The sequence below is a fragment of the Homo sapiens genome, chromosome 13, assembly GCF_000001405.40.
Source record: "Homo sapiens chromosome 13, GRCh38.p14 Primary Assembly".
NCBI lineage: Eukaryota > Metazoa > Chordata > Mammalia > Primates > Hominidae > Homo > Homo sapiens.
The window spans coordinates 27,092,178-27,116,858 of record NC_000013.11 but is presented as its reverse complement, the minus strand read 5'-3'; the positions used below and the strand labels follow the sequence as shown (position 1 = coordinate 27,116,858).

The 24,681-nt window shown below is 37.6% G+C and overlaps 1 protein-coding gene across 2 annotated transcripts in view; it reads left to right on the top strand.

The window, feature by feature from the left end:
* The window catches only part of USP12 (ubiquitin specific peptidase 12), a 105,656-nt gene that overhangs the window by 54,953 nt on the left and 26,022 nt on the right, over positions 1–24,681 (top strand). For both annotated transcript variants that reach the window (XM_005266282.3, NM_182488.4), the window contains exons 2-4: positions 263–343; positions 10,915–11,128; positions 21,029–21,258. In XM_005266282.3, coding sequence (XP_005266339.1) covers positions 263–343; positions 10,915–11,128; positions 21,029–21,258 — 525 coding nt within the window. The remainder of the gene's footprint in view (positions 1–262; positions 344–10,914; positions 11,129–21,028; positions 21,259–24,681) is intronic.

The following is a 24,681-nucleotide window of genomic DNA, read 5'->3' as shown; positions in this document are numbered from 1 at the left end:
TGCTCGAAGGCCACAAACCTATACAGCATGTTCCTGTATTTTCTAGGCAATCGTAACACAGGAATAAGTGTGCATCTGAACATATCTAAACGTAAGAAAGGTACAGCTAAAAATACGGTGTAAAGGATAAAGACGCACCTGTGTAGGGCAGCTCCATCGTAATGTGATAGGACCATCATGTTGCGGCCTGTCATTGACTGAAGTGTCATTATGTGGTGCATGACTACTATAAATACTAAGATTTTTGTTTTTCATTTTATAGGGCGCCAATGCTTCGGCATTAGAGAAAGAGATTGGTCCAGAACAGTTTCCGGTCAATGAGCACTATTTTGGATTAGTCAATGTAAGTATCCATTGATACGCTTTTAGAATCATGTTCGGAAGCAGTTTTAAAAACGATGAATGCATTCCATAAGTTATTAAAGGAAAATTGTTCTTTTCTATTAATAGAATTAAATGCTAAGAGACTTGATTGGGAATTTTGAAATGATCTTTAAGGGAAGGGAAACAAAGTTGCCTGACATCTTTTTTTTTTTTTTTTTTTTTTGAGACAGCGTCTTGCTCTGTCGCCCAGGCTGGAGTGCAGTGGCGCGATCTCGGCTCACTGCAACGTCTGCCTCCCGGGTTCACGCCATTCTCCTGCCTCAGCCTCCCGAGTAGCTGGGACTACAGGCGCCTGCCACCATGCCTGACTAATTTTTTGTATTTTTAGTAGAGACAGGGTTTCACCGTGTTAGCCAGGATGGTCTCGATCTCCTGACCTCATGATCCGCCAACCTCAGCCTCCTAAAGTGCTGGGATTAGAGGCGTGAGCCACCACACCCAGCCAGTTGCCTGACATCTTAAAATCTTGGAGATAGATAGTTTCTAACTTGTCAATCTGATCATCCCTATTTTGTCAGAAATTTCTCATAGCCAAAATTTAGTATTAATATATAGCCTAGTCTAAGTGATCTCTTGATTCTTTGAGAATGATTTACTTGATTAAATGGTACAAATGTACAAGTATACATTTAGCTGTGCAAATGCCTCCATGTGTCTGTGGGGTATTTGACAATTTACTTCTCTCATTGTACCAGTGCTAGAGATATAAAAGTGTGAAATGTGGGGAAAAAGCACATCCCAGTTCTTATGGAGGTAATTCTAGTAATTACACGTTTTTAAAACTTTGGGAAAATTTGAGAAGTTTTACCTGAATGTTACCTGTTCTGAGTCACTGGGGAGTATCACAAACTTGTGCTATATAATTGTTGTGGTAGTTTATTTTATACTGTTGTACTGTACTATTAGGTGAATCCATGGCAGGTGTTTTAAAATGCATATATTGATAAAATAGGTAACACAGTAAGTTATATTGAACAGATTGGTGGACTCTAAATATTAGTCCCTACATAGGACATATTAGATGGGTTTCTCATGGATTTGAGGAAAGCGGTTGAAGTGATGTGTGTGATTCCCTGTGCTTTGGGAATGTCTCTGTGCACTATGCATAAAACCTATAACAAAGAATCAGCACTCCCTTACCTTTCTCTCTCTCCAGAACAGGCTACTCATTACTCCTCTCACTTATTTTTTTCTGGAATTTAGCCTTATATTCTAATTTAAAAAACAGCATTTCAGTTAGAATTCTCAACAATAAAATTAAGACAAGCAGGAGAGAAACTTACTAAGAGACCATCAGAGGACGCTTTGTCTTTATCCCCTGGAGAGATTCATTTGATCAGTAGAAATATAAGCTTCTGGTCTCTGTGTCTTGTTATTATATATAAAATTAACATATCTACAGGGGCCACAGCTCCAACTATTAAAGGTTGGTGAACATTGTGAATTATGCTCAGAAATAAAACTGTGGTCAGAGTAGATGCAGCAGAGCTAGTAGAGTGGTTAATTCCATGCAGCAGGCTGGAGTGTGGTGGTGCCATCACAGCTCACTGCAGCCTTCACCTCCTGGGCTCAGGCAATCCTGCCTTAGCCTCCCGAGTAGCTGGGACCACAGGCACACACCACCATGCCTGTCTAATTTTTAAAAAATTTATTTGTAGAGATGGGATCTTGCTATATTGCTCAAGTTTGTTTTTTTTTTTTTTTTAAAAATGGAGAGGAGGAAAATACCCACAGATTAACCTAGCAGAAAATTAAACAGAGTAGTTGCTCTTAGTGCTTTAATGACAACCTGTTTTCTGTTACTTTCAGTTGCAGATATTTTTGTCTCAGAAGAATATTGTCACAGATAATGGCTCTTATGGCAGCTTACTCTTAATTACCTGTCACTATAATTTGTATAATACATAGAATGAGGATTTCCTCTCAGCTTATCTCCTGTAGATACAATGCTATTCCTGATATTATTGGAAGTAGAGAGGAGAAATACTAGTGTAGCTTGAGGACCTTTGGATGGGGAAAGGAGCCTTTGGAAGCTTTCTTTTGCTGTAAAGTATCCCACTTACAGGCCAGCTGTTAGATAGTCAGCAAAATTCTTAGATAACAAGTTGTTTTAACCTGATAAATTGCCTTTTTTCCTTTTATATTGTAGCTGGTTAGTACTTATTTTAGTAGAGCTGATAGAGAGTGATTTAAACCACAATTTAGTGTATCTTTCTTACTTGTAATATAGTCTGTGCATTTTTTTGAATAGCTTTTTTTTCATTGTTTTATTGTATGGTTCTTTATTAATTTTCTAATACAGGTAGGCCTCAACACACAAGTAGCCTGGCCTCAGTAAGTCCATTTGTGAGGGTACTGTGAAATATGCTTTTCCTGTCTTCTAAGGTTTTAGGTTGTTTGTTTTAAAAATAACAAAAAAAGAAATGTGCTTTCCCTTCAGAATCTTTATTATAAAATTATGATTGCATTTCTAATCTGTCATATAAAAAGCTATTTAACCTGAATTGCTACTAGTCATTAGTTGGAGCAGGGTCCATTATAGAAATAAATAAAAATGAAACTTTCCATTTTTGGGTTATAAAGTTCATTAGGCAAATGTCTCTTGGTTCTCTTTTCTTTTGTATTGATTTCATTCTCATTCAGTTTCTCCTCATCTGATGGCCATAGGTTACTTGAGGTTTACATTGTTGGAGAGTCCAGAAAATATCCATATCAAACCTGGGAAAAGAGCTCTGGCCCAGGTCCTCTGCCTAGACTGTACCAAGCGTCCAGCCCTGTTTTAGGGGCTGTAAAAGGGCTTTGATTGATAACACGACAGTAATTTGCATAGAGAAGAGAAAGCAGTTCCTACAAGGAAGCATGGGGCAGTGGAGTAAGAACATAGGGTGAGGAACTGACGTCCATTGGAGTATGAAAAGATGACTTCTGGGTGAGGTACTCAATGTCTGGTCTACTCTGCTGGAGTAAGAAGCGTGGTGGGTAGGGGGATGTGGAAATACAATGTTCTAAAATGTCACCTAAACAAGAACTGGTTGGTGCAAGAGGGCATTCCCTTAGAACATCTTAGCATGTTCACAGAACAGGCACCATCACCCAGGCCCAGCATGGGGGACAGGGAAGAAGTTGTGCTTCTTCAAAAACGGTTCCTTTTCAACATTTTTATTTTTTATTTGTCTGGGTTTTTTGTTTGTTTGTTTGTTTGTTTTTGTTTTTGTTTTGAGAAAGGGTCTTGCTCTGTCACCCAGGCTGGAGTGCAGTGAGTGATCATGGCTCACTGCAGTTTCGCCTCCCTGGCTCACTGCAGCTTCACCTTCTTGGCTCAAGCCGTCCTCCTGCCTTTACCTCCTGAGTAGCTGGGACTACAGGTGCACACCACCATGCTCAGCTAATTTTTTAAGGTTTTTGTAGAGATGGGGTCTCACTATATTGCCCATGCTGGTGTTGAATCCCTGGTCTCAAGCGATCCTCCTGCCTCAGCCTCCCAAAGTGCTGGGATTACAGGCATGAGCCATTGTGCCTAGCCTCAGTATTTAAACAAAGTAATGCTATTGACATTATGGTGGTTAAAACTAGTAGTCTCCAAATGAAGTGTGTAAGATGATCCATTGGGAATAGGAAGAAAATATTAGCATTTCTGATGTTTATTTTTATCTAAAAATGGTAGACTAAGCATTATTCTTAACATATGGATGAGACTGGTGCCTATACTCTATCTGTATATGATATGGTTGTATGTTATTTCAAGTTCCATGATGTCAAAGGGTTGATGGCATCATCTCTCTCATTTGTTTCTGCTGTGGCAGATCTATTATAATTTAAATGTAGTTTTAGAGAATTATATGATTGAATTTTAGTTAACTTAAAAGGTTGTTTTAAAAGTTATTATTGGCTGGCCACAGTGGCTCATGCTTTTAATCCCAGCACTTTGGGAGGCCAAGACGAGAGGATTGCTTTGAGCCCAGAAATCTGAGACCAGCCTGGGCAACAGAGTGAGACCCTGTCTCTTAAAAAAAAAAAAATGCTGGGAGCATTTTGCATGCCTGAGTGCCTGAGGTCCCAGTTACTCCACAGACTGAGGTGGGAGGATCTTGAGTCCAGGAGGTTGAGGCTGCAGTGAGCCATGATCATACCACTGCACCCCAGCCTGGGTGACAGTAAGACACTGTCTCAGGAAAAAAAAAAAAAAAGTAGCTATGAAATGATGAAGGGCCAGTAACTGTTCTGAGTGTTTTATGTGATGATTCATTTAATTATTTAAGAAATTCTAAGAGGTAGGTGCTGTATTACCCCCTTTTTGCAGGTGAAGAAACTGGTAAACAACAGTTTAGTAATTTCCCAAGGTCAGATAGTGGAACCAGACTTGAACCTAGACAGTTTGGTTTCAGATCTTATGTGCTTCATTACTGTGCTGTGGGGCTCTCAAGGCAGGCATTTCCTAAATGTATTCAAACTAATTTGGTAGATAAGACTACAAATTGGATACCATGATTTAAAAAGTAAAGGTAGGTAGTGAGACTCTCATTCCCTTGCACCTATGTATCTTTAGGAAGGTATCTTTTTCAGTTTTGATAGCCATTAAAACCACATATCCAAATAACTGAACATCACAGACTATCAAATTGCTGTTTTAAAATCTAAAGCCTTTACAAAAATACTCAATCTCATTGCTCTCACTTAAGACTAATAATTTTTCATGAAAATAATAGTGTGTAATAAATAAGACAAACATCTAAAATGTGCATTTTCTTAATTGCATTCCTTTACATTTTTAATATACATAGTATGTATAATTTATAAATGTGTAAGGGATGTGCGCTCAAAATGGTCTTAGTAGTAGGTATATAAAAAATACTTGCGGTGGGATGTTTGTTAAGGTTTGGAGAAGAAGGCATTAGAGAAAGCTCTTTGAAAGCAAGAATGAGATTGTATTCACTAAGCAATCAAAAAATCAATGATAAGACCTCGAGTAGGGTGGCAACTTTTAAAATTTCTTCTCCCTAATTTAAACCTACCTTTGATTTTCAAAACCAGCTGAGATAACACAGCATAGATTTCAGCACTAAAGCAATGTTTTTTTGTTTTTTAAGAAATTGAGCATTCACAAACAAGAATATAGAGAAAATCATCCCAGAAAACCTTTTGCATGAAGGCTCTACTCTTGAAAGATAATTTTTAGGTCTTAGGACCTTGAATGAAAGTTAATATTAAAAATCAAGAAAATTGAAGGAAAAGTTTCAAAATTATTAAAAAGATTGAAAGTCAGCTTATTCTGGAGAAAGAGTAGTATTTTCAACCTTTTAATTTTTCTTTAATGGGATTGATGAAAGTAAATAAAAGAAGACTAATGGCAGGCCTCAGAGAATTGATTATAATATTACTGTTGCTTTATATTCAGAAGATGAGCAAGTCATGTTGGACAGAAGTGTGAGCCTGACTTCCAGTAGTCTACAAAATAGAGACTCCCTCTAGTTTTTTAGCCTATCCTATTTGCTTCTCATATTTTTTATAGATAGGTCAATCCTCATTATCATAATATTTCTGGTATACTTGGAGATGATCTCTTTTGCTTTCATCTCCCTGCTCGGTGGAAGTTGTTCAATTCCCCTGTTGCCTATTCCAAAATATGGAGATTGTATCTTCTCTTCAATTGATATAACCAGATTTGTTGGTCGTTAGCTTGATTAGATTGTAGTACAAATACAATTTTAAAGACAGATTTATACTGGATACTGGGTAAATTAATCTTAGTAACATTCAGTTGTACTTAACCCCTGGGTAGGGTTCATTGAAGTGTATCTGTAGTTACATTTATGATCATTGATATCAGTACGCTTTAATCACATACCTCTTAAGCTTAAGCGCCTCTTTTTCTGAAACCAGTGCTTGTCTCCTACTAGCAGTGTAGATATGAGAAGTCATTGTCCTCACTAGGTCTCAGGTCCTCAGCTGGAGAGGGGTTGGATCTCACAAGCCTCTTCAAAAAGTTGGTAACTCCTGTTTCAGTGGGGCAGAGGGATCTTATTTGTTTAATCTCTGTGGAAAAAAAGAAACATATTCAGACAATTAGGAGATTGAACATAGCAGAGCTTTGTTTTATCCCCTCAAATTATTGGCTCTGCCTAGTGTCTGTCTTCCCTATGAACTTATCTGGTTAGGTCCTTTATTTGCAATGATTGTGACACATAATGACATGATTATACAATTTACCTCAAAGATTAAACACCTCCTTTGAAAAGCTAGAGTAGGAGAGGTAAATATAATGAATCACTATGAACCCATCAACCTAGCTTGAACAATTACCAATATTTTCCTTCTCTTCCACTTATCCTTTTTTTTTTTTTTTTTTTACCTGGAAAAGGAAATCCTAGTCATCATGGCATTTTGGCCATAAATGGGACACGTTTAATTACATGTCTCAAAGTGGCAGGAACGTTTTAAAAAATATGATCACCTAATGATCACACCTAACAAAGTCAACAATTTCTTAATATCATCCAATGCAGTGGTATTGGATTGATTCAAGTATCTTCTTTTGTCTCAAAGATGACTTTTTTTTTTTTTTGGAGACAGAGTCTCACTGTGTCGCCCAGGCTGGAGTGCAATGGCGGCACCATCTCGGCTCACTGCAACCTCAGCCTCCCGTGTTCCAGCGATTCTCCTGTCTCAGCCTCCCGAGTAGCTGGGATTACAGGAGTAAAACGCCCGGCTAGTTTTTGTATTTTTAGTAGAGACGGGGTTTCACCATGTTGGCCAGGCTGGTCTTGAGCTCCTGACCTTAATCCACCCACCTCGGCCTCCCAAAGTGCTGGGATTACAGGCTTGAGCCACTGCGCCCAGCCAAAGATGACTTTTTATAGTTGGTTTGTAAATCAGGATCTAAGTAAACTCCAGCATTTACATTTGCAATTTGATTGTTGTGTCTCTTGAGTCCTTTTCAACCTTTTTTCAAGTCATCAATTTGTGGAGAAACTAGGTCATCTGTCCTAGAGACTATTCCCATTTCAAACTTGGCCTTTTCCTTCTTTGTGGTATTGTCTCTTTCATTGCCTGACTGTTGACTGTCTTGTAAATTAGTAGTTACACGTAGAGACTTGATTAAAGTTTAGTGATTTTGCTTAAGGCAAGAATACTTCATAGGAGGTAAGATATATTAAAAGACACACAATATTCAGTTGTTCACTTGAGCAATGCTGAAATCGCTGGGGTGTTTAGGTCTGTTCACTCTGTTTTAAACATCCCCATCAACTTTTAACCTAATGCTTTGAGCATCCATTGATAATTATTGCTTAATCCATTATTTACAACCATTTCTTCTGATTTTATTCACTGGACTTATTTTATAAACAGAAACTTCCTTCATCAACTGTTTAGTGCCCCTGAAATATGGTTCTTATAAGAAAGGCAAGATGAATCTTGAATGTTTTTCCTTTTATATATTAGTTTGCAATTGTCAATGGAGACTAAAGAGGGCTGCTTTTTAAAAAAATGTCATTATGTGTATATACACACACACACACATATGTATCTTTTTTTGTGGAGAAAGTCTCATTCTGTCGCCCAAGCCCGAGTACAGTGGTACCATCTTGGCTCACTGCAACCTCTGCCTCTACCACCCCAGCTTCCTGAGTAGCTGGGATTATAGGTGCGTGCCACCACACCCGGCTAATTTTTGTAATTTCAGTTAGAGACAGGGTTTCACCATGTTGGCCAGGCTAGTCTTAAACTCCTGACCGCAACTGATCCACCTGCCTTGGCCTCCCAAAGTGCTGGGATTACAGGCATGAGCCATTGTACCCAGCCTAAAATGTCATTTTAAATTTATGAATTTTTGTATAGTTGGTGTGTTTTGGTCCATTGCAGTAATCCTTTTGTATTAAAGTTGACACTTATATTTAAGATATCCCAGGCTAATCTTGCACATTGTACATTTCTTTTTTTTTTTTTATGCTTTAAGTTTTAGGGTACATGTGCACAATGTGCAGGTTAGCTACATATGTATACATGTGCCATGCTGGTGTGCTGCACCCATTAACTCCTCATTTAGCATTAGGTATATCTCCTAATGCTATCCCTCCCCTCTCCCCCCACCCCACAACAGTCCTCAGAGTGTGATGTTCCCCTTCCTTTGTCCATGTGTTCTCATTGTTCAATTCCCATCTATGAGTAAGAACATGCGGTGTTTGGTTTTTTGTCCTTGCGATAGTTTCCTGAGAATGATGATTTCCAATTTCATCCATGTCCCTACAAAGGACATGAACTCATCATTTTTTATGGCTGCATAGTATTCCATGGTGTATATGTGCCACATTTTCTTAATCCAGTCTATCATTGTTGGACATTTGGGTTGGTTCCAAGTCTTTGCTATTGTGAATAGTGCCGCAATAAACATATGTGTGCATGTGTCTTTATAGCAGCATGATTTGTAGTCCTTTGGGTATATACCCAGTAATGGGATGGCTGGGTCAAATGGTATTTCTAGTTCTAGATCCCTGAGGAATCACCACACTGACTTCCACAATGGTTGAACTAGTTTACAGTCCCACCAACAGTGTAAAAGTGTTCCTATTTCTCCACATCCTCTCCAGCACCTGTTGTTTCCTGACTTTTTAATGATTGCCATTCCAACTGGTGTGAGATGGTATCTCATTGTGGTTTTGATTTGCATTTCTCTGATGGCCAGTGATGATGAGCATTTTTTCATGTGTCTTTTGGCTGCATAAATGTCTTCTTTTGAGAAGGCACATTGTACATTTCTTATCGCAGATCTTGTATCAGCCATATCTTCAAGGTGTCCGAGTTCTTTTGGATGGGAAAAGGGTGTTTAGAGAACACAATCTGGGTATAGGAGAAACTTGTTGCTGCCACACCTTTTCAGTGGACAGAATTTGAAAACACGTACACACAAACATGCATGCATGCACACAGACATACATTTTCAGAGTTATAAGTTTATGTTGATATTTCTAACTGAAGTTTACAAGGCTTTTATTTTTCTGATTTTTATTATAGCATCTTTTTTTCCTTTACATTAAAAATTTTGGTTCCTAAGGGTATTAACATAATTCCTTGTTTGCTTTGTCCTATGATATAGCTACAATAGTTTCAAAATAACAATATCAATAAATTTGTTTTTTTTGTTTGTTTGTTTTTGAGACAGAGTCTCACTTTGTCATCCAAGCCGGAGTGCAGTGGTGCGATCTTGGCTCACTGCAGCCTCCGCCTCCCAGGTTCAAGCGATTCTCATACCTCAGCCTCCTGAGTAGTTGGAATCACAGGCATGTGTCATCATGCCTAGCTAATTTTTGTATTTTTAGTAGAGATGGGGTTTCACCATGTTGATCAAGTTGGTCTCGAACTTCTAACCTCAAGTGATCCGCCTGCCTCGGCCTCCCAAAGTGCTGGGATTACAGGTGTGAGCCACTGCGTCTGGCCAGTAGATTTTTTGTTGTTGCTGTTTTTGTTTTTTAAAATGATTAGACTATATCTCATTAGGCATGTATGGTAAACATTCTTTAAGTCACCTGAAATAATTAATTTCTCTTTATTTCTACCATTAAATCCATATACATTTAGGTTTTGTTTATTTTTGTTTTTAATTTTAGACATTTCTTTTTTATTTTAGAAAAGATAGGGGGTACAAAGTAAATGTTTTATAACAACATTCTTTCAGAGAAGTCTCATTTTTATCCATCTCTCCATTATTTTTCCTCTTCTCCTATAAACATTTTTGTTAGCTTTTTGTTTATCCTTCCTCATTTTTTTAAAAAAAATAAATGGTCTATGGACATACATTTGATATCACCCAATCTTAAACATTTTTCTCTGCCTAGCCTTTTTAACCTAATACTGTATATACTTGATTTCACCCCATAGTAGAAATATGAGAATTATCCTCATTCCTTTTTTATAGTTTCATAGTGCTCCCCAAATCTTCATGACTGACTTTTAGCTGTTTTATAGCTTTTAGAGCCAGTGTTTATTAATGGAAGGGAAAAGGAAGGCAATACATATTTATGAAACTGTGTGTCATTTACTTTATAAAGTAGGTTTATTTCCCCGCCCGCCCCCTCCCCCGTCTCGCCCCAATTACTAGAGTGGAGAGGAGTAGAGTTCAGTAAGATGTAGTGACATACCCCAATGACATGGCTGGTAAGAGAGAAATTCATAGTTAAGGATTTGATGTCTTTCCAATACATCATGAATACTGTGACTTGGCATTTCAGTGGTTGCTAGACTGTCATACTGGTGACTTTTTCATGTAACGTTTCAGGGGATCTTGTTTTTTTTATTTTTTGTTTTTGTGTGTTTTAATTTGGATGTACCTAAGAACCTGATAGAAAACTTTACTTTTGTGATTTCCAAAGAATTTTTGAGAGTTGTATTTTAAAATGTATAATATAATGCAGTCAGTGTTATAGTAACAGTAGTAACCGATTGTCATCTCTTTCTGTTCTCAACCATATACCGGGAATTTCTCTCTTGAAAATGTGTTGCCCTAAATTTAACAAAACTTTTTTTTTTCTGTTGCAGTTTGGGAATACCTGCTACTGCAATTCAGTTCTTCAAGCACTTTATTTTTGTCGTCCATTTCGGGAAAAAGTTCTTGCGTATAAGAGTCAACCTAGGAAAAAGGAGAGCCTTCTTACATGCTTAGCAGATCTCTTCCATAGCATAGCCACTCAGAAGAAAAAGGTTGGAGTAATACCCCCTAAGAAGTTCATCACAAGATTACGGAAAGAAAATGGTAATTCTACTTCCCACTGTATTAATGACATACTAGGAAGGTTAAATATAGTGTGCCATAATTCCAGCACTTACTGAGCATCATCTGTATGCCTGATAACATGTTAGCTGTTGAAGAAACAAGGATGACACGCCTTTCTTCAAAGAGGCACTCGTTTAGTGAAGGAGATAGTCTTACAGTAATTAATACAAGATACGGTTAATGTTTGCATTGCGTTATACAGTGATAAAATTCTGTGTGGCAGCAAATGAGAAATCACAGTTTCTCTTTTTGCTTGCTTGGCTTTTCTGTCAAGAATGAAGGGTTTTTGTTTCTTTTTTTTTGCATGCTTATGCATTTGTTTTCATAATGCTTTCATGTGTGTTAACTCATTGGATCCTTGCAGTAGCCTTAGATAGAGAGCATGTCATTTCCCCCATTTTAGCCGTGAAAAATCAAAACCTAAAAAAGGCTTGCCAGGAGCCACACTCCGGGGAAGGAGCTAGAAAAGACCTTTTGGCTTAGGGTAGATAAGTTTTAATCCCCCAACCCCTTTTTAAAATAGTTACTGAGTAAGCCCCACCTCCCTTTTCTTTTTTGAAATATTGTTCATTTAATTTTCACATGCCAATAAGTTGGACATTATCACCCTATGAAATAACTGAGGCTCAGAGAGGTTAATTCGTCCAAGGTCCCACAGAGTTAGTAAGTGGTGGAGCTGGTATACAAACTTACTTCTCCCTGATATGTAAGCCCAGTGTTCTATCTAATGTGGGACACTGCCTCAAAAATTCAAATGGAATTTAGATAACATGTAGAATTCTGGCTTTTGTTTAATGTAGGCATTTTAATCATTGTAGAAAGAAAATTGAATGGCATTTTTAGTTGATTTGTTACCTATTAAGTAGACGCTCACAAGCAGGATTTGGGAAGTCATTAAGATGGATTATTAAATACCCTATTGCGTAATCCTGCCTTTAAATTAGTCAGTTGACACTGTACACAGTGAATTGAGGTAAGCCTGGATCATATCTAGTTCGCTGAAATATAAGATGACCCAGAAATAGGCTATAGGCTATTATTCTTGAATTTGATACGTTTGTTGAAGATTTGTTCATTTTCCCCACATACACATGTAGAATAATTTGATTAATTGCTCATAAAAATACATCTTGTTTCCCCTAATGAAAGCTAAACGTATGTACTTTATTAGATTATAGATCTGTTTATCTTGTTTTTTTAGAAAATCAAATATAACCTTAATGCTCAAATGTGGATTGAGCAGTTAAGTCTTCTCAGTCTTTTTGTGTGTGTCTGTACAAAACTTTAAAAGTTTTGTCCTTGTGGAAAATTTATGTATTTGGTAATTGAACATGGCACCCTTTCTCAGTGACTTTATTAGTATTTTAAAAATGTTCAGTGACTGGACACGGTGGCTCACACCTATAATCCCAGCACTTTGGGAGGCCAAGGTAGGTGGACTGCTTGAGCCCAAGAGTTTGAGACTAGCCTCAGCAGCAAAGCAAGACCTTGTCTCACAAAAAATTTTAAAAATTAATCGGATGTGGTGGTGCACATCTGTAGTCCCAGCTACTTGGAAGGCTAAGGTGGCAGGATCGCTTGAGCCCAGGAGGTTGAAGCTGCAGTGAGCCCTGATTGCGCCACTCTCCAGCTTGGGTAACAGAGCAAGACCCTGTCTCTAAAAAAAAAGAGTTCAGAAGTATGCAGCTCATACAGAGCATACATTATTTCCCTTTTCATTTAATAGTACATTTCTCTTGGCCTTATTAACCTATCACATGGGCTCTTTATACAATGATGTTATCTTAGTTAGATTGACCCTCATGCTGAACAGAGGTAAAATACAGTTACATACTTATGGCTTTATATGTTTGTTTGTCAAACCTGGGGTATTTTTACAGTGTTCGTTATTTTTTCCAAATGGGCTTTTTTTCTTTTTTCATCTCTTTCTCTCTCTGTCTCTCTCTCTTTTTTTTTTTTTTTTTGGTAGAGATGGGGTCTCATTATGTTGCCCAGACTAGTCTTGAACTCCTGGCCTCAAATGACCCACCTCAGTCTCCCAAAGTGTTGGATTACAGGCATGAGCCACTGTGTCTGGCCTTATTATTATTATTATTATTATTTTTTTTTTTGATAGTTCAATAGTTACTAATTCTTTTTGTATTTAGGCAGATTGAATTGGTAACACAATAGAGTTCTTAAATACTTCTTTGAAAGAGACTGATTCTAGAATAAATATTCTAAGCCCATCTTCTCATAAGTTTTGCTTCATTTTTCTAAACTTCAGAAATAATGCTTAATAGAAAAGCCATTTTTTTAATAGAAAAGCATTTTTATTATTTGATGTTGCTGACATTTGCAAATATGTTTTGAAATATATTTTTGGCTTTTGAATTTTCCCTTGAGAATTGTGTAGAGAAGAATATACAAATCAAAGAGGATTTAATATATTATTCATTGCATATCTTTCCTTCTGAGATTTTGTTTGTTTTAAATCTTTGGAAAGTATGTTACTCATTTCAGTATTTCCACTGACTTTCACTGGTAGATGGTTCTTACTAAATTAATTTCCTGCCATACTATGTTAAAAATTTTATTCTCAATAGATATTAGCCCCATATTGTTTTAACCACCATTGCTTTATGTTACTAATCTTTTTGATGGTCCTGGAAAGAACTGATTTTAATTTCTATTTATTAATGAATTTTTGTTTTTACAGTTTTAACTCATGTTACCTAATCATAGCATAAGAGGACTGTTGCACAGTGCTCCTGCATAGAGTACAGCAACAGTGGCTCCATGCATGTTACCTGCTGATGGGATGGATGCTAGCTGAGTGTTTGAGTAGACTAATCATGATAGATATATTTCCTGTTGTGTGCCAGACACTGTTTAGGAACTGATGATACAGAAATATGCCTTCAGGTACCTGACACCCTCGTGGGGAAGCAGACAGCCATCAATTGTGTGATGTAATGTGTCACTGTCACGAAAAAAAGAAGACTGGGAAAGGGGACAGAGGATGAGGGAGTTGCTAGTTCATATGTCAGTCATTGGGAAATGTCCCTGATTAGGTAATGTTAGATCAGAAATTTGAAGACATCATTTTAAGATCTGAGGCAAAAATGTTACCATCAGTAGGAAGAAAGTGCAGGTTGCCTGAGTGCTTGAAGGATGGAAAGAAAATTAGCATGGCAAGAGTGGAATAAGATGAAGATAAAGTCAGAAGAACAGGGGCCTAAAGCTTGGGTTTTATTTGGAAAGCCATGGGAAACCACGAGAGGGTTCTGAGCAGGTGGGTGATACGTTCTGATTTGTTTGAGAAGACCCTTTGGCTGCTGGGTGGGCCTGGGCAGCATGAGAGTAGAGGCAGGAGACCAGCCTGGAGGCTGTTGCAGTACCCAGGTAGGAAATGGAGTCCTCTCTTTACAGGTACTGCCTGTGGGTGATCTACTATTATTTTGGAAGAAATACAACATAGGATGGTGATCTGATTGTGTTAGCTAGAGTTGACCCTCAACTGGACTGTTTGGGATCATTTTAGGTGGGCCTGAGGGCCACATCAGCTGGCATCTGTAGTTGTGTGCTCTGACTCACTGAACCTTAGCAGTGTCAGTCATTTCAGTTATTGTTTGGGGGCAGATCTACTTTTCTGTCATCATCTTAGTTGTTTCAATCCCTATTGTCCATTCATTCATTCATTCATTCATTCATTCATTAAAAAATGGGAAATACATCTCATTATGTGGCAGGCACGGTTGTCAGTCCTAGGGATGAGATAGAAAGGGTCCTTGTTCTTAAGGAACCTGCATGGACAAGCAGCGTTTCATGTGCCGTGGAGAGATACAAAAACAGATAAATTTAAGTCTTGGTCTCCCTCAAGTGAGGAAATTTTAGTTGTTCACAAATAATACCTGTTAAATATATTTGAGTAAATAATTTCTTATGTTTATTTCAAACAATTCTTTTTCTCCAAAAGAGCATAAATGGTATTTTGTGTAATGAGAGCTTATAGCTATTTCTGAATTATGAGGAGAACATAACCTATTTTTAAGCAGTGTTTTTCATTTTTTTTTGCATTATTGTTGCAGCTATATCAGGACTATAGTAGTTTATAATCATACATTTATTTAATAATGAAATTGTCTGTCTCTCCCACTAGACTGTCAGTTCCATGACGGAGGGAACCCATTTGTTTTTGCTCACCATTGTATTCCCAGCACATAATCCAGTTCCTGGCACATAGTAGGTGCTTACTAAATATTTATTGAATGAGTGAATGAATGAATGAAATTGTTTAACTTCCAAAGCAAGTTTGAAGTCCACCTTTCCCATCATGCTACTTAGCAAAGAAGAAAGCAAACCATAAGAAAACCAGGGTTTTAAAAATTAAATATAATACAGTTCACAGGGATTGTCCTGAGGTCATTCATCAGTGTTATTTTGATGTTTATACAGTCCTGGTTGACGCTTTTAAAACTATAATGGCTGCTTTCACATACAGCAAAATTCTGGCATATTCAGTATACTCTAAGGAAAATGGACTACAAATAATCTTAGAAATATTTCAACAAAAGTTTAAAGATTATTTTTTTGGTTTACTTTGCCTCTCATTTCCAGAGCATTCAAGTCATTGGAGGTATTTTTGTGAATATGAAATCATTGCTCTGTGTTAAAAGAGCATCCAGAAAAAGATGTACATTTTTAAAAAGCAAAAACATTTGCACATTTTTGCTTAAAAAGTAATTATTTTGAAAAACATGTATATGCTAAAATTCTTTTCAACAGGGAGAAATTAGGCTACTTCAGATTGTGGCATCAAGCCAATATGTAGTTAGCCGCTGTAGGGAATTATTCATCTCTAACCTTAACTAGGTCCTCAGCAGTGTTTATAAAATCTTTTTACTAGTTCTCCCTGATTATTCTTCTTTTTAGATTCCTCTAGGACTTTTCCAGTTGGTTTCCAACTTTTCTTCAGCCCCTCAACTCAACTTTAGCATAATTATCTTCCACTCCTTGCCTTAGTGGACCTGTTTGAGGTGGGTGGTTCCAGATTTGTGACCCGGAAATGGGTGGGTGAGTGAGAGATAAAGGTTCTTGAATTGTACGGGATTGAGGTGCATGCACGTCAGGAAGCTGCCTAGACACTGACATGTCAAGGTTGGTGCAGGAGGCAAAGTGGAGAGAGAAACTGAATCAGGCCATCAGTGGATGAGGAGGAGGGAGATGACCTCAGAGAGAGGAGGGTTGAGGGTCATAGTATGGCTGTATCTTGGGCACTTTTGTGATTGAGAGCAAGTAGCAGTAGGAAACTAGAAAATGCCAAAGGTTGATAAGGCGAGGGAGTTTGTTTAGAACAGAATGGAGGACCTAGAATGAGCAACTTAGAAAGGGTTGGGAACAAAGAAAATCCCAAGGATGAGAAAGGAAATAAGGTGCAATAAGCAAATGAGAGTAGTAGAGGATAGGAGATTGAGGCTGAGAGGGGAAATGGTTATTATTTTCAGGGACGGAGGATTATTGCATTGAAGGGCAAGGTTAGATAATTTGCTTCAGTTAGCTTAGCTGTGGTCTAGACTTTTCCAATTGGTGGAACCACGCAAGGTTCTATGCATGACTTGGCCCGGCCTCGGAGGGATGGAGTGGACTGCTGAGAAGATTTTTGAGTTGCAGGCTGTCTCAGTGTTGAGAGAGGTTGCATAGACTTCTACTCTGAGCAGGGAGAGGGGAATGGTGTCCCAGTGCTTTAGATCTACTATCTCTTGTGGACAAAAACCCACACACAGTGTACCAAATTCAAGATTAGTTGTTAAGTCCATGTAGGCTAGTACGGAGCTCTTAGAACTCATGACTTTTATTGTTTTTAAACATAACATGGGGATTTTGCTAAAGGCTAATGGGTCCCTCAGGCTAAACTTACAGCAGAGAAGTGAACTGTGGCTTCAGTTGCATTCTTAATATTATTGTATTTGATTTGAGACCCAAATTTGTGGAATGGATTTGGATATATGAAAATAACTAAATAATGAACGTGAAAAAAAATTATTGTGAATTTTACCATGTAATGCAAGAGATATCAGGGAAAATTCCTAGGGAGAAAGATTCAGGGTCTATAAATTAAACTTGTCTATTTGCAGTGTGAAACTGAAGGAAAGGAGACTTAGTGGGTTAAGTGAAGGGAGGTGACTTGAACTAGGTAGATTTAAATGGAAATGGAACAGACTAGACATGCAGGAAATGAACTTTAAAAATTGAAAGGGTTTGGGAAGTAATTGTTTATGAAGAATATGCAATAGACAGGCAGATTGCTTGAGCCTAGGAGTTCAAGATCAGCCTGGACAACATAGCGAGACCCCCATCTCTTAAAAAAATAAAGGAATGTGTAACAGGCAGTGACAGGGAGCGAGGAAGTGGACTTTTTGTATGGAAAGCTCTATGTTATTTTTAAGCATGCAAATAATACATGCATACATTCTTACAATAACATTTCAGTACCAAACAAACCTAGAAGTTTCCCTGAGTGCTCTCTGCTTCCTCCCCAGCTCCTCAATCTCGTCTTCCTTTGAAATACCTTGATGCTACCAAAAACCCTTTTCTATGCACTTAAATATATATGTCCAAATAGGAAGCCACAGTTACATTTTATGGGAACTATTTTTAGTGGAGATGGGGTTTCACCATGTTGGTCAGGCTGGTCTTGAACTCCTGACCTCAGGTGATCTGCCCCCCTCAGACTCACAAAGTGCTGGGATTACAGACATGAGCCACTGCTTCCAGCCGGTTGTTTGTTTTTCATGAGTGGGATCCACATGTGTTCAGCATCCTTGTTTCACTTTCTGTTTTGGAAGTTTTGCCATGTTAATTCAATGGAACTGTTTCCATTTTAACCGTTGCCCAGCATTCCCTAACAAAATTATAGCATAATTTAAATAAATCATTCTCCTGTTGATAAACATTTAGGATATTTTCAGACTTCTGCTGTTATAAATAAGCAGCCGTATTTATGCTTGTTTTGGTACATGCACAGATACTTACCTGGCATCGATACCTGGGAGAACTAGGTTGCATTATTTTAAATCTGTTACCAAAATTGCCTTTACAACGTGCCATACCAGTTTATACTCCCAGCAGCAACAGTTGAGAATGTCCATTTCTCCATACTCAAGCTAACACTGGATGGAAACTAAGTCAATTTTTATTTTGCCAAAGTGATGGGCAAAATGATATTTTGTCATTGTTTTAATTGTTATTTCCCAGTCCCTTGTCATGTATTATTTAGGCATTTGTATTTCTACTCTGAATTGGCTATTTTCCTTTGCCAGTTTTTAAAATTTTTTTTCTTGTTTTGTAAAGGGTTTTTTTTTAAATATTCTGTATATTAAACCTTTACATAGTCTGGATATTAATATGCAAATAATTATCCTTGTTCGTCACTTGTCTTCATTTATGTTGACTTTGCCATACAGAAGTTCATAGTTTTTACATAGTCAGTCTTTGATGTGTTTTGTATTCTGTTCAGTAGCAACAACAATTATATAGGTTGAGCATCCGTAATCCAGAAATCTGAAACTTTTTGAGCTGCATGATGCCACATGGGGTGGCTGAGGTAGTAACAACTTTACTTTCTGATGGTTCAGTGTACACAAATTTACTTCCCTGCACAAAGTTTTTAAAAATACTATATGAAGTTGCACTCCATCCTGGGCAACAAGAGCAAAACTCCATCTCAAAAAAAAAAAAAAAAAAGTACTATATAAAGTTACCTCCAGGCTATAAGGTGTATATGAAACAAATGAATTTCATGTTTAGATTTGAGTCACATCCCCAAAATATCTCATTATGTGTATGAAAATATTCTCAAATCTGAAGCAGTCTGAAGTCCCAACCACTGCTGGTCCCAAGCATTTTAGATAAAGGATATTCAACATGTAGTGATATTGCCAATATTGTTACTGTGGTTGTTGTTGAACAGAATACAAAACCTATTGTTGTATTCTAAGCACTTTTAATCTTCCTCCCAGCCTTGTGAGGTACAGGTACTGCTGTGAGCCCCATTTTTCAGATGAGGAATTATGGAACAGGGAGCTTGAATAAGTTGCCTATGCCACGCGTGCAGTTAGAAGTAGAACCATAGCACCAACCCAGACAGCCTTGCTCTAGCAGCTGTGCCCTCCTACCCCCATAAAAAGCTTCACTCATTCCCTTTCTGTTTTTACAATGACTTTGCAAAGAAAGATGGTATTCTGTTTTGTTGTTGTTGTTTTTGAGATGGAGTTTTGCTCTTGTTGCCCAGGCTGGAGTGCAATGGCGCAATCTCGGCTCACTGCAACCTCTACCTCCCGGGTTCAAGCGATTCTTCTGCCTCAGCTTCCCAAGTAGCTGGGATTACAGGCATGTGCCACCATGCCCAGTGAATTTTTTGTATTTAGTAGAGACGGACTTTCACCATGTTGGCCAGGCTGGTCTCAAACTCTTTACCTCAGGTGATCCACCTGCCTTGGCCTCCCAGAGTGCTGGATTATAGGCATGAGCCACTGCGCTTGGCCTGCTTTTTTTTTTTTTTTAAACTTACTATGGGATTGAACATTTTCTCATGTTTTTTAGCCTTTTGATTGTTTTTTTCTTATAAATTGATTGCCATTTATAAGATTGTCCAGTTTGGTTTTCTTTTATATGAGATTTGCTTTTATATGTTGAAAATGTTAATAATTTTCAGGTTTCACTTTTTTTAAAACTTTTTTAAAGATTTCTAATACATAGAACTTAATTTTATGTAGTCATATCTGTATCTCTTCTAAAATGTAATTGTTAATTTGTTTTATCTTAGACTTTCCCTAAATTTTTTTCTAAATTTGTATGCATTCATTTTTAAAATGTAAAATCTTTCTGGAACTTATTAAATGTACATTGAGGATCTAAAAATAAAATGTCCTAAATAGGTAATTTTTCTCAATGCATTTTATTGACCAATTCATGTATGTTCTTGTGTGTGGGCTTATACTGGGCATTACTTTGTGTGTGGCATGGTGGAGTCAGGCTGCCCAGTTTGAATCCTGGCTCTGCCATTTCTTGGCAGTGTGACTGTACTCTGTCTCGTCCCATTTTCATGTTTACAAATAAAGTTAATAACAATATTACATGGTTGTTGGGGATCAAATGAGATACTGCCTCTAAAGTCCTTACTGTTCTATGGTAGAGTTGTATATTGCCAAGCACAGGGTAAAGCACGCTTGATGTTAGCACCACCAATATTTCAGTTATATTTACTCATTTGTGTAACTGCAGGGAACGTTTTGTGGAATTATAAAGTCTCACATTTGGAAGGGACTTGAGATTATCTGGATTATATAGATAATTCTTGATAACATGATTCTTAAACCTGACTCTACATCAGAGTTAGTTGGAGGAGCTTTGAAAAGCCCCACGTTCTGGGCTTACCCCTTATCAACTAAATCAGAATCCCTGGGATGTATGGTTCAGTAATTTATTTTTGATAAACTTTGTGGGTCTAAAGCAGTTGGCTTGGCATTGGCAAATGGTTGTCCAACTTCTGCTTTAAAGCTTGCCAAGTTGAAATATTTGTGAAATAATAAGTCAGGTAAGCTAATAAGCAATTTCTTCTTAAATTCTCAGTATCTGTTATGCCAATATATAAGGATAGGTTTTGCCCTTTTCTCAGGATCAATTAGTAGTATTTTTAAACAAGATTTTAATTAATTTTACATTTTCCCCAAATACAGATAAAAGTTTTAGATGCGAAAGTTATTTGTTATACATTACAAAAACATTGTGCATTTATATTTTAGTTCTGATCCAATACTAGATATTCTTTTATAAATTGGTTTTTTATGAAGTTATGAATTCTGAAATAATTCTCTAATATAATGTTTTTATTTTCAGAGCTTTTTGACAACTACATGCAACAAGATGCCCATGAATTCTTAAATTACCTACTAAATACAATTGCTGATATTTTACAAGAAGAGAGAAAGCAGGAAAAACAAAATGGTCGTTTACCTAATGGTAATATTGATAATGAAAATAATAACAGCACACCAGACCCAACGTGGGTTCATGAGATTTTTCAGGGAACATTAACTAATGAAACCAGATGTCTTACTTGTGAAACTGTAAGTATATCATACAATTTTGTATAGAGAAAAATTGAATTACTATGTTAAAGGTTGTTCTTTGAGAAAGACAGAATGGAAGATGAACTTGAAAGTTGTAATTCTTAGGTATAGGAGTTAAAGATGTATTTTTCAGTTAAAAGGAATCTGTCTGTATTCTTAATGTAATGTTGCTTATTGACAATGAATACCTGAGGTGATAGAAAGATACTTACTGTAGCTTGAACTGTTTGATTTTCTTTCAGTTTAGGAGGCCATAGAACCATGTTGTGGAAATTATGTCTTATGACATAATCTCATAGGATCATACAGATCAGGGAGGCATATTAATTCGTTTTTCCTTTTTCTACGATTACCTTTAGTATCCATTGTTGGGATAAAAACTAAAGCATACAGTGTACCCTCAAGGAGGGGAAAAAATCCCACTTGCTGGACACTTTGTAAAGATGAAGCTTGAAAATTGTTACACCCAGGCTGGAGTGCAGTGGCCCAATCTCAGCTCACTGTAGCCTCGACTTCCTGGGCTCAAGCAATCCTTCCATCTAAGCCTCATAAGTAGCAAGGACCACGAGCACGTGCCACCACACCCAGCTAATTTTTAAATTTTTATTTTTTGTAGAGACAGGGGTCTTACTGTGTTGCTCAGGCTGGTCTTGAACTCCTGGGCTCAAGCAGTCTTTCCACCTTGGCCTCTCAAAGTTCTGGGATTACAGGTGTGAGCCATTATGCCCGGCCAGTCATGTTCTTTATAGCATTTTCCCTATTCAGTACAGAATCCAATTTAGAGGGGGACATTGCATTTAGTTGTTTCTTTAGCCTTCTTTAACCTGAAACATTTACATGGTCTTTTTTTTTTTGAGAATATGCCTCCCTCACCTTTTTAAAATCAGATGTTCTCATATTTAGTTTCTCTGATGTTTCTTCCTAACTAGATGCAGGTTATGCATTCATGGCTAATAATAATATATCATTCATGTTGTGTTTTTCTCGGGGCATCACGTCTGTAGGCACACAATATCCATCTGCCTCTCATTGGTGAAATTAATTTTTGATCACCCAGTCAAGGTGGTGGTGTTTCTCCATTTGATTTATTTATTTGGAGACAGGTTCTTGCTCTGTCGCCCAGGCTTTAGTGCAGTGACACTGTTATAGATCATTATAGCCCCAAGACTCCTGGGCTCAAGTGATCCTCCTGCCTCAGCCTTCTGAGTAACTAGGACTACAGTGCATGCCATCACCCCCAGCTAGTTTTTAAACTTTTTTGAGACAGAGTCTTGCTGTGTTACCCAGGCTGGTCTTGAACTCCTGCCCTCAAGTAACCCACCTGCCTCAGCCTCCCAGAGTGTTGGGATTACAGACATGATCCACCGTGCTGGGCCAGTTTCTCCACTTTATGATGACTTTTTTTTTTTTTTTTAAATCCCCTTGCAATTAGTAGGCAGTCTGTGGGGAGACACAAATACCTCCCTCCTCATCAAAATCTCACCCAAGATTTAGCATGCATTTATGATTTTGCCTGATCTCATCTTTACTGTGACAGTTGTGCTGCTAGTTTTTAATAACATTGGAAAATAGGGTCCACAAGCAAGAAAGCTAAGAGTCCTGTAAAGTCTCCATAGTTTTGCCTTTTCCAGAATATTGTGTAGTTGAAATCATATAGTATGCAGCCTGTTTGGATTAGCTTCTTCCACTTAGCAATATGCATTTAAGGTTCTTCCATGTCTTTTTAAGGCTTGATAACTTATTTCCTTTATTTTTGGCTGAGCAACATTTCCACTGTAAGGATGTGCTGCAGTTTTTAAAGTTCATTCACTTACTGAAGGACGTCTTGGTTGCTTCCAAGTTTTGCCAATTATGAATAAAGCTGCTATAAACATTTGTGTGCAGGTTTTTGTGTGGATGTGAGTTTTTACTTCCTTTGTGTAAATATCAAGGAGCAGGATCACTGGATTGTATGGTAAGAGTATACTTAGTTTGATAAGAAACCAACATTCTGTCTTCCACAGTGGCTGTACGATTTTTCCTTCTTACCAGCAGTGAATGAGAGTTCTTGTTTCTCCACATCCTTGCTGACATTTGGTGTTGTCAGTTGGATTTTGGCCATTCTAATAAGTGTGTAGTGTTATCTCATGTTAATTTGCAAGGCCCTAATGACATATGATGTTGATCATCTTTTTGTCTGCTTATTTATCATCTATATCTCTTTAGTGATGTGTCCAGATCTTTTGTCCATTTTTTAATCAGGCTGTTTTTCTTTGAGTATTGTCGAATTTTAAGTGGGTTTTTTTTTTCGGGTATAATTTTGGCTACTAGTTCATAATCAGGTGGGTCTTTGGCAAATATTTTCTCCCAGTCCGTGACTTGTTTTTCATTCTTTTAACACTGTTTTTGGCAGAGTGGAAGTTTTTTTTTTTTGAGATGGAGTTTCGCTCTCGTTGCCCAGGCTGGAGCGCAGTGGCTCACCGCAACCTCTGCCTCCTGGGTTCAAGTGGTTCTCTTGTGTCAGCCTCCCTAGTAGCCAGGATTACAGGCACGCGCCACCACGCCCGGCTAATTTTGTAATTTTAATAGAGACAGGGTTTCTCCATGTTGGTCAGGCTGGTCTTGAACTCCCGACCTCAAGTGATCCACCCACCTTGGCCTCCTAAAGTGCTGGAATTACAGGCGTGAGCCACCGGGCCTGGCTGGCAGAGCAGAAGTTTTTAATGTTTTAATTATCAGTTTTTAATTTTAATAAAGTCCAACTTTTTCTTTCATGCATTATACTTTTGGTGTTGTATCTAAAAAGTCATCCATAAACTAAAGGTCCCTTAGAATTTCTCCTATGTTATCTAGGAATTATATAGTTTTTCATTTTATATTTAAGTCTATGATCCTTTTTGAGTTAATTTCTGTATAAGGTATTAGAAAGTTTATTCTGGGTTAATTTTTTTGCATGTGGATGTCCATCTGCTCCAGCATCATTTGTTTAAAAGACAATTCTTTCTCTGTTGAATTGCCTTTGCTCCTTTGTCAAAGATGAGTTGACTCTTATTTGTGTGAGTGTATTTCTGGTCACTGTCTTCTGTCCTGTTGGTCCGTATATCTGTTCTTTCCCCACTACCACACTGTCTTGATTACCGTAGCTTTAGAGTAAGTCTTAAAGTCAGGTAGTCTCAGTCCTCTGACTTTGTTCTTCTTCAATATTTTGTTGGCTATTCTGGGTCTTTTGCCTCTCCATGTAAACTTTAGAATCAAGTTCGTCGATATCCACAAAATAACTTGCTGGGATTTTGATAAGGATTTTGCTGAACCTATAGATGAAGTTGGGAAAAAAATGATATCTTGACAAAGTTGAGTCTTCTTATCTAAGTACATGCACTGTCTCCCCTTATTTACCACTTTTTTTGCTATCTTTCATTGGAGTTTGGTAGTTCTTCCTCA